This window comes from Homo sapiens, chromosome 12 (assembly GCF_000001405.40).
Source record: "Homo sapiens chromosome 12, GRCh38.p14 Primary Assembly".
Taxonomy (NCBI): domain Eukaryota; kingdom Metazoa; phylum Chordata; class Mammalia; order Primates; family Hominidae; genus Homo; species Homo sapiens.
Window position 1 is genome coordinate 10,663,110 of NC_000012.12, and position 11,247 is coordinate 10,674,356.

At 41.6% G+C, this 11,247-nt stretch overlaps 1 protein-coding gene across 6 annotated transcripts in view; it reads right to left on the bottom strand.

The window, feature by feature from the left end:
- Positions 1-10,943, bottom strand: part of STYK1 (serine/threonine/tyrosine kinase 1) — a 55,130-nt gene extending 44,187 nt beyond the window's left edge. For 4 of the 6 annotated variants that reach the window (XM_005253417.3, XM_047429099.1, NM_018423.3 and 1 more), the window contains exon 1: positions 10,857-10,943. The gene's annotated coding sequence lies outside the window, so the exon portion shown is untranslated. Of the gene's footprint in view, positions 1-4,179; positions 4,347-10,406 lie in introns of those variants that run through there. The other 2 variants (XM_011520738.3, XM_011520737.2) reach the window with 2 other exon arrangements.
- Positions 10,944-11,247: the final 304 nt, after the last annotated feature.

Here is an 11,247-nt window from a genome sequence, read left to right on the forward strand (position 1 = left end):
TCTTTTCAGCCTTATTATTACTAGAGATAATGTCTCACTTTGTGACCCAGGCTGGAGTGCAATGGTGTGATCAGAGCTCATTGCAGCCTCAAGCTCTGGACTCAAGGGATCCCCCTGCCTCAGCCTCCCAAGTAGCTGGGATTATAGACACGTGCCACAGCACCCAGCCCACACAATCTTGACTACTGTAGATTTGTAGTAAGTTTTAAAATCATTAAAACTTACAGGCGCGGTGGCTCACGCCTGTTATCCCAGCACTTTGGGAGGCTGAGGCGGGAGGATCATGAGGTCGGGAGATCGAGACCACAGTGAAACCCGTCTCTACTAAAAATACAAAAAATTAGCCAGGCGCGGTGACAGGCGCCTGTAGTCCCAGCTACTCGGGAGGCTGAGGAAGGAGAATGGCGTGAACCTGGGAGGCGGAGCTTGCAGTGAGCCGAGATGGCGCCACTGCACTCCAGCCTGGGCGACAGAACGAGACTCTGTCTCAAAAAAAAAAAAAAAAAAAAAAAAAAAAAAAAAAAAAAATCATTAAGTGTGATTCCTCCAACTTTGTTCTTTTTCAAGACTGTTTTGGCTATTCTGACTCCCTTGCGTTCTCATAAATTTTAGAATCACTTTGACCATTTCGGAAAAAAAAAAAGGCTGGAATTTTGATAGGGATTATGTTAAGGATGTAGATCAATTTGGGGCGTACCACTATCTTAACAATATTAAGTCATCCCAGTTAAGAAAACTATATGTCTTTCCATTCATTTAGGTCTTCTTTAGCTTCTTTCAAGGATACTTGGGATGTTTTGTAGTTTTTGGTGTACAAGTAACATTTGTTGATAATAAACTTTATAGTTCCATGGCCTTTAAAGGTTAAACCAGAATTTGTGTGTGATTTGGTGAGACCACAGAATGTTCTGTCTCCGAAAGAATCTGTCCTAGAACAGGTCGGGCAACAAATGCCTCCCAGTCCCAGAGACTAGCCAGAAATGCATTCTATGTGAAGCAGCATGGTGTAATATAAGGCCACTGTTGATCCTTCTCATACCTGGATAAGTAGACAGAATATAGGGCACTACGTTCTGTAGTTGTCTTGGTGTCAGAACCCAGCTCATTTTCCCCTGACAGACCACAAGGGATGATCTAAATTTCTCAGGTTGTCATGAATTGCAGGGACAAGAGAGTGTGTCCAAAGAATTCACATCCCTAACTTCCTATTAATATAAATACTTCTATTTATCCATCCTCCTACAGAGACCACTGCTCCCTAGGCACCCAAAATATGTCTGACTGAGATTCTAGTAAAAGTCCACAAAGATGCAGCCCCCAATATCACCTCTAAACCCTAAACTCAGGTGTAAAGATGCTAGTACATCTAGCACAGAACAGAGAGTTCTATGCCAAGGATCAATGAACTTCTTTTTGTGAGCAATCGATCTCACACACTATCTGAATATTTATAAACCCACAACCTGTCACTAGTTATGTCTTGCTGATACTGCCAAATCTTTATTGTCCGTCTGTTTGTAGATATCCTAAGGTCATACTTTTATGACCTTAGTTCAAGTGAGCCTGTCTCTATTTCCTAGTAAATGTTAACTCAGCAAATTAAGAATAATTTGTTTTAATGTTAGCCCCCAAAAAAGCAGACTTAGAAAAATGATTTTGGTGTGGGAGGGGAGATTATAATTGTAGTTATAAATCACATTAGGTTTACCTACACTCCTTTTTTTCTAATGCTGCAAAACTGGAATATTTTTCCAAATTATCCCCATTTTTGTAATAGGAAATCATTTCATAATAATTCATGGCTATTTTACCAACTTCATATTGCATGTGGAAACCAAGTTTAAGTGAAAAGGTGACATGCATAAGTCAGAAAATGAATCAGAGATCTAATCAGATGTGGGACCTTCCAATCATGAATCCATTAATTAGACTGTCCCTAAGTATGAAATATGGGTGAGGAAAAGAGACAGAGAGTGAAATCAAGGTCACTTGGGGTTATGGGAGCTGCTTGGGCTTCAAGAAAGAACGCAAACACAGCAGGTTCAACTCTCAGTGTCAGAAAGCCATGCCGTTCACACGCTGTAAATGAGGTAACCATCCCATGCCTTCTGTACCACTATGATCACACCTCCCTGTTACAGAAACAAAAAATGTAAGAACAGCAACCCTGCTGTCTATTTCTTGATCTCTTTGACAAATACACTATGAAATGCAGAGCATGCTTCACAAATGCCGTAGAATGCCCTATGTGTACAAGGGTGCTTTGAAAGCAACAACAAAAACCTAACTTCCAAATTTACTGGTGGGGGAATTAAGGCACAGAGTTCAGACACCTCCCAGCAGTTAATTAGCAGCTAAGCATTGTGTGTTGAATCTCCATCTGATGCTCTTCCCACTACACTTTCCCACCCTTCATAAGGCTGACTGGATATTCCATCTATTTTTTTCAGTTGAGTTTTGTAGGGATGAGAACCAGGAAGAAGATCCTGGCCCTTGCAATTCACAATGTGCATACACTGTCACAGTTTCTTCTGGAACTTTGGGATGCACATGTGTCCAGACTAGCCTCTGCCAATCTCTACCAGATACATGAAGGCTACAATATTTATATCCCAGCTGTGTTTTCATTGATGGAGCTTTAAGAATATTCTAATTAATACTCTGCTTCTTTTTTCTTCCTCAGCCAGAACTCACTCTGACTTATACTAAGATATCAGCCCCAAGGTAAGTTAAAGGAGCCAGGCCTTGAGCCCTGTGAGGAAAGACCACAGAAGTAGGAGTCAGGGAAGCCATGTGGTTTCACATCAGATGGGCTGGATTTGTGGAATCTGCGAATAAGTCTTATAGAATAAATCTCACCACAGGGAAGTCAGGATCAATTTTCAGCATTCCGTTTGCCTCTCTCCTCCTTCCTTAAGCCAAACCTGTTAATTCTACCACTAAACAAGTCCTTTCTTGCTGTTATAGCTTCTTACTGGCCAGAAGTGGTACTAAATTTGGGCCCAGGCTGAAGAGGTGTCAAAGAGCATGTAGGTGAGGGTCAACCAGGAGCTTTTCCTGTCTAAGTGAAGCCAGCCTGATCTGACTTAACAGAGACTTTGGAGAAGTTGATTTTAAGCCTTTTTTCACTGACACAAACTAGGGGTGACTTGACATACAATTGGTCCTGATAGCTGACTATTGTCAGAAAAAATAAGCACTTGAGATCAACTTCTCTAAACACCAAATTAGCACCTTTGGCAAATATTTTTCACCACTTATTTGGTAGCATAATATGAATATAACATAATACTGTCTCCTAAAGTTGTCCAACACAAACCCTGCATTCATCTCCCACAACACAGTACATCTGGTTAAATCATTCAATGTCTGAGTGTACAACTAAAACCAATCATTTCAAGGCTTTTTCCAGAAAGGCACCTGACTTCATATGTGGATATTACATGTTGATATGATTTGGCTCTGTGTTCCCACCCAGATCTCATCTCAAATTGTAATCCCCGTAATCCCCCCATGTCGAGGGAGGGACCGGGTGGGAGGTGATTGGATCATGGGGGCGGTTTCCACCATGCTGTTCTCGTGATAGGAATAAGTTCTCACGAGATCTGATGGTTTTATAAGGGGCTCTTCCCCCTTTGCTTCCTTCACATGCTTTCTCTCACCTCCACCATGTAAGACGTGCCTGCTTCCTCTTCTGCCATGGTTATAAGTTTCTTGAGGAAACTTATAAGGCAGAGGAACTATAAGTCAATTAAACCTCTTTTCCTTATAAATTACCCAGTCTTGGGCAGTTCTTTATAGCAGTGTGAGAAAGGACTAGTACACATGTGTATTACTGAGATTTTTCTATAACCACAATGCATAGTTTGAAACATGTTTTTTCCCTTAAACCTTTGGCATTTACTACTGTGTCTTACTAGAATTCTAACTTAGCCTAGAATTATATACATAATTTTAATTTAGATCAATATTCTAAAAATACCATATTCCTATATACTGTTATCTAACAATTTTTAAAAATACCCTTAAATGTATAAAGATGGAGCTAGTTATTGAGGTTATAAAGGTTAACAGCTACAGAGGAAAAAACTAAAACAGGTTTCCTTTTCATTTTTTATTTTAGCCAGTAATTTAAAGCATAAAAATATAAATTTGGGGTCATAAAAGTTAAAACACTACCTTCGATTTGCTCTGACCATGTCAATTGTTAAGAATTAGCTGTCAGCTGACCTCCGTGGCTGACTTCTGTAATCCCAGCACTTTGGAAGATGAAGGCATGAGGATCACTTGAGGCCAGGAGTTCCAGGCCAGCCTGGTTAGCCAGGGTCTTCAGCAAGACCCTGTCTCTTAAAAAAAAAAAAAATACAAAAATTAGCTGGACGTGGTGGTGCATGCCTCTAGTCCCAGCTACTGGGGAGGTTGAGATGGGAGGATCACTTGAGCCTGAGAGGTCAAGGCTGCAGCAAGCTGTGATCATCCCACTGTACTCCAGCCTGAGCAACAGAGTAAGACTCCATCTCAAAAAACAAAACAAAACAAATTAACTGTTGATATTCCTTGTTGTCACTATGCCAAGAAGGGTTATTATGAATGAGAAATATGAGAAAACTGATTGAGATGGCTTTCAGGGAAGCACATAATGCTCAGAAGCTTGGATACGACTTAGACTGCTGGGGGCTAAGGAAAGAGTGAGCATCAGGAAATGTTTATGTTTCCTGAAGACTCACCCTTAGGAGGTAGTATTCACAATATGATAGGGCTGAACTCTAACTGCCCAATTCAGCAGAAGGTATAGGGAAGAAAAGCTAGTGAAGAAGGACACCTGGGCTGAGGAGGTGAGAACAACTGCAGGAAATGAGGCTTTAAGCCAACGGATGGATAGAAACCCCTTACTCCATCCCCATTATCCTTTCTGTATCCAGAGGTGACTGTCTCTTCTAAACTCTAAACTATCTTATTATTATTCTGGTTAGAAATCTCAAAGAAATTCTGAGAAGTTCAACAATAAAATACTTTTTTTTTTAACCTGGAAGAATCTCCAGCAATTTCCCAGTCAAACTCTACCCTCCATTTTTCAAAAGGAATAAAAATAATAATAAAACAACTAAGGACCCCTGAGGTAGGTGCCTTGCTGTTTGCTCACAAAGAGAGAACCAGAGCTTAAAACGGATTTCAGGTCCCCCGGACTGAGAGAGGACTCTGTCCACTCTACACTGTCTGTCTGTGTAATTTGCTGCTGCTGCTGCTGCTGTTTTTTCTTCTACTTCTTCTTCTTTTTTTTTTTAGACAGAGTTTCACTCTTGTTGCCTAGGCTGGAGTGCAGTGGTACGATCTTGGCTCACTGCAACCTCCGCCTCCCAGGTTCAAGCTAATCTCCTGCCTCAGCCTCCCGAGTAGCTGGGATTATAGGCACCTGTCACCACACCTGGCTTTTTTTTTTTTTTTTTTTTTTTTTTTGTATATTTACTAGAGATGGGGTTTCACCATGTTGGCAAAGCTGCTCTCGAACTCCTGACCTCAGGTGATCCGCCCGCCTCAGCCTCCCAAAGTGTTGGGATTACAGGTGTGAGCCACTGCACCCAGCCGTAATTAGCTTCTTTACCTTTGTGCACATTCGTTCCCTTCTACTTTCACTTTCTCCAGTTAGACACTATGCCAAGACATGATATCTAATACCCAACCTACTTATTCAGTACTTAACCAGTTTGCCTATTATTATCTGTTTCTTCCCAACAAGACTTTAATTTCCTGGAGAGCACAGTCAGCTTCTTTAGGTCCCTCATTAGCCCAGCCCAGAAGTAGGCACAGAACAGTAGCCACATCTAAATTCAGAAAGCATGTTGGAGAACTAGAGACTGGCTGAGCCTGGGCTGGTGGGGAGGACAAAAATGAACTGGCAAAGGAAGAAGAAAAAGCATGAAACCTTCATGGGAATAAAAGTTTAGGGACCAGCTATTTTGTTCATTGCTGTATCCCTAGCACCAAGAGCAGTGTCTGGCATATATCAGAATTCATATGATTGTTGAATAAATAAGTAGCTAATTCATCTATGAAAATAGCATTGGATCTGCAAGAAATTTTTATAGAAAAATAACCTATAGAAACTAATGGGGCATAAAGGATTAAGCTATAATACTAAAAGTACAAGGGGGAATGGGGAGTAGTTTTTAACAGTATATATAGCAAGTACATGGTACCCAGGTTTCTGTTCGATAGGGACACATTTTTTGTTCCATCATTAAGCAGGTTGTTTTTCTTCAGAAAAAAGATTTAAAGTTCTTTGCTTTCTATACACAGCAGGCAAAACATTGAGCCTTCAGAATAAAAATAGATAATATACTCAATAAAGAACACCATGTACAAAAATCAACTCAAAATGGATTAAAGACTTAAATGTAAGATCTGACACTGTGAAAGTACTAGAAGAGAACACAGAGAAAAGGTCCATCATATTAGGCTAGGCAATGTTTTTTTGGACATAAACCCAAAAGCACAGGCAACAAAAGCAAAAATAGACAAATGGGGTTACATCAAACTAAAAAATTTCTGCACAACCAAGGAAAAAATCAACAGAGTGAAGAGATAACCCATGGAATGGTAGAAATATCTGAGAAGTGATTAATATCCGGTAAGTGATTAATATCCAAAATACATAGGGAACTAAAACAATAGGGGGAAAACAAATAACTGTACTAAAAATGAACAAAGGACCTGAATAGACATTTCTCAAAAGAAGACACACAAATGACCAACACATATGTGAAAAAATATTCAACATCACTGATCATCAGGGAAAATGCAAGTTAAAACCAAAATGAGCTATTACCTCATACCTGTTAGAATAGCTATTATCGAAAAGATGAAAAATAAGTGTTGGAGAGGATATAGAGAAAGGGGAATGCTTGCACACTGTTGGTGGGAATGTAAATTAGTACAACCGTTAGGGAAACAGTATGAAAGTTCCTCAAAAAATTAAAAGTAAACTACTATATGATCCAGCAATCCCACTATTCGGTATACATCCAATAGTGATCTGACTTTTGTATATAATGTTCTTTATTCAGTATATTATCTTACTTTTATTCTGAAGGCTCAATGTTTTGCCTTCTGTGTATAGATAGCAAGAAAATGAAATCAGTGTGTCTGATTTCACATACTGCTGTCTGCACGCCATGTTTATTGCAGCATTGTTCACAATATCCAAGAGATGGAATCAATGTAAATGTCCATCAATGGATAAATGAATAAAGTATAAATACATACAGTATAAACACAATGAACTATTATTCAGCCTTTTGAAAAATGGAAATTGACAACATGGATGAACCCAGGAGATATTATGTTAAGTGAAATAAGCTAGGCACGAAAAGAAAAATATCATAGGAACTCACTTATATGTAGAATCTGAAAAAGTTGAACTCATAAAAGTAGAGAATAGAAAGATGGTTACCAGAGGTTGGGGGAATTCGAGGGGTTAGAAAGACGTCAAAGGATATGAAAGGGTATGACCTTATTCCTCCTTGTTAGGAGGAATAAGGTCAAGAGATCTATTGTACAACATGGTGGCTACAGTTAATAACTATGTATTGTATTCTTGAAAATTGCTAAGACAGTAGATGTTAAGTGTTCTCATCACAAAAATATGTGAAATAATACTATGTTAATTAGCTTAATTTAACTATTCCACAATATATACATATTTCAAAACAACATGTATATGATAAATATATATATAATTTTTAATTTTTTTAATTAAACATAAATTTTAAATATACATATAATAAAAATAAAGAATACCCAGTTGGGAAAGCTCAGGTACAGTAGGCAGAATAATGGCTTCCCAAAGATGTCCATGTCCTAATCTCCAGAACCTATGAATATATTGATTTTTTTTTTTTTTTTTTTTTTGACAGTCTGGCTCTGTCGCCCAGGCTGGAGTGCAGTGGCGCGACCTCAGCTCACTGCAAGCTCCGCCTCCTGGATTCACGCCATTCTCCTGCCTCAGCCTCTGATTAGCTGGGACTACAGGCGCCCGCCACCACGCCCAGCTAATTTTTTGTATTTTTAGTAGAGATGGGGTTTCACTTTGTTAGCCAGGATGGTCTCGATCTCCTGACCTCGTGATCCGCCCACCTCAGCCTCCCAAAGTGCTGGGATTAACAGGCGTGAGCCACCACGCCTGGCCATGTTGATTTTTAATAGCGTTGAAATAGCGAAGGGGAATTAAGGTTACAGATGGAATGAATCAACTGACCTTAAAATAGAAAGATTACCCTGGAATACTCAGTGAGTCCAGTGCAATTACAAGAATCCTTAAGTGTGAGAAAGGCAAAAGTGAGCGTCAGCATAAGACATGAGAAACACTTTACCGGCCATTCCTGGCTTTGAAGATGGAGGAAGGGTCCATGAGCCAAGGACTGTAGCAGCCTCTAGAGACTGAAGGAGGCAAGGAAATTGATTCTCCCTTAGAGCCTCCAAAAAGAACCATCCATTTGGAAACCTGCCCATCCATTTTTACTTCTGACCCCCAGAACTGTAAGATAAAACTTTATGTTGTTTAAAGCCACCACCATTGTGGTAATTTGTTACAGTGGCAACAGGAAATGTACACACTCAGGTTAAAAGAAAACAGAGCTGCAGAATCACATAACTCCTGGCAGATCTTCGGAGCACATGTTGGTTGGGACTGGTTGTGAGGGTTTGGGACAGGTGGGAAATAGTTTCTGCCAGAGAAAACTGAAATACATGCAATGCTCAACTAACTTGTGCATAATTAAAGACATTAGTTGTTAAAGGGTTGAACTGTACACCCTCTCAAAATTAATATGCTGACATTCTAACCCCCAGTAACTCATAATGTAACTTTATTGGGAGATGATAGTGCAGAGATAATCAATTAAAATGAGGTAATTAGGATGGACCCTAATCCAATAAGACTAGTGTCCTTATAAAAAGGGGAAATTCAGAGACATATATACAGGGAGAACACCATATAAACATCAAGACAGCCATCTACAAGCCAAAGAAAGAGGCCTGGAATAGATGCAGGCTTCATAACATGTTAGTTTTGGATAGCCAGCCTACTGAACTGTGAGAAAATCATTTCGTTGTTTAAGCCAGAGGTCACCAACACCCGGGGCGCCGACAGGTACGGGGTGCACAGCAGGAAATCAGAGGCAGGTGAGCCAGCAAAGCTTCATCTGCATTTACAGCCACTCCCCATCGCTGTCATTGCCTCCTGAGCTCCTCCTCCTGTCAGATAAGCCACGACATTAGATTTTCTTTCTTTTTCTTCCTCTTGTATTTTTGGTAGAGATGGGTTTCGCCAAGTTGCCCAGGCTGGTCTCAAACTCCTGAACTCAGGGCGATCCACCCACCAACTCCTCCTAAAGTGGTGTGATTACAGGTGTGAGCCACCGTGCCCACTAGCATTAGATTGTCATAGGAGCGTGAACCCTATTGTGAACTGCTCATGTGAGGGATATAGGTTGCGAACTCCTTATGAGACTCTAATGCCTGATGACGTAAGGTGGAACAGTTTCATTCTGAAACCATCTCCCGCCAACCTCATCGGCATCTGTGAAAAAAATTGTCTTCCACAAAATCAGTCCCTGGTGCCTGGTGCCAAAAGCCATGCAGTTTGTGGTACCTTGTTACAGCAGCCCTAGCAAACTCACACAGTAATGGAGGCACTGAACGAAAAAGTATATGATTTTCATTGAAGCAAATACTTCATGATGTCTCATTGAAAGACCTAGCTGCCCCCTAGCTAGCTGTCAGTGGAGATTCCGGTGCATTGAGGGGGAAAAACCAGGTAGACAGCACAGAGTTCTGTTTCCAGGTGTATTTCAGTTGAGCTGTGCTGCACATTACAGTAACTCGACTCCTTTATTGCCACTACTTCCCACCGAGTGGGAAGGAAGTGTGGTCTCATAGGTATAAGAAACTCCAATGTGGAGAGGACCCATTACAGAAGGAAGCAACAATCGCATAAATGAAAGAAAGAAAGGGGGGATGAAGGGTTGATAGAGAAAAATGAAAGAGGAAAAAAGACATTGAAAAGAAAACAGAGGCTAAAATGGTGAAACCCCGTCTCTACTAAAAATACAAAAAAATAAATAGCCGGCCGTGGTGGTGGGAGCCTGTAATCCCAGCTACTTGGGAGGCTGAGGCAGGAGAATCGCTTGAACCTGGGAGGCGGAGGTTGCAGTGAACCGAGATCGCGCCATTGCACTCCAGCCTGAGTGACAGAGCAAGACTCCCTCCCCCACTCCCCACCCCAAATAAAAAGAAGGAAAGAAAACAGAGATTCAGTCAACAAGGGATAGCACATCAGGCTGTACACTTTTAAAGCATGGTTATTGATATCTCATTTAAATATCGCAACAACCCTGGAAAGTAATTACCGTATTTATGCTTTGCAGATGAGGAAGCCGAAGCTGAAAGCAACGATTCCATGGTCTGAAAGGCTATGCAGTCCTCTGACAAGTAATTCCTGTAACCTCATTCTTTCCCTTCCCCCTCTCCTGATGGCCCCCTCTCCAGGAATAAACAGAGGTCCCCCATTCCTGGGTTTTCTCATGTTTCTCTCTGCACCAAATCTGCTGAGTCAGGTTTACTCCCTTATCATATAGAAACACAGAAGCCAAACCCCACAAGATGCTGGTTCCGAAGAAACACAGGTTAATTCACTTGGTGATTTCTGTTTGTTCACATAAACACCCGTTCCGCTCCCAGCCTCTTCCCTTTTTCTCCCTCCCCAACTGCAAAGTCCTCCCCCAGCTGCCTCGCTGCCATTCCCTTCCCACCTTCTTTACCCTCCCCGCCGCGCCCGCCCCCCATACCCCGTTCACTACCGTGTCCCTCCTCTGGTCACTCCGGTTTCCGATGGCACCGGCCCAGTCGGAGGGGAAATAATGACAGGGTTGGGTAGGGCAAGGTGTGCCAGCCTCAAGGAAATGCTTTTCAGTCCCTCCTTCCCACTGCGGGGCGTGGCTGCCGGCAAAGGATGGAGTTCGGGCGGGCTCCCGCGAAGGGAAGTCTGCGGGCTCCGAGGTTTCCGGGACTCGCCACACTCGAGCCACAGGAAACCTCTGCTGCAACTGTAAAGGCTGGACTTGTTGCTGATCTATACTCATTTCCTACTCTAGTGATTGCTAGATGTCAGGTATCACGGTGACTCCAGTCCAGGTGAAAACGGAGTCACGATACAGGGCAACAGCGCCACCTCACGGCCGGCCCCGTAGC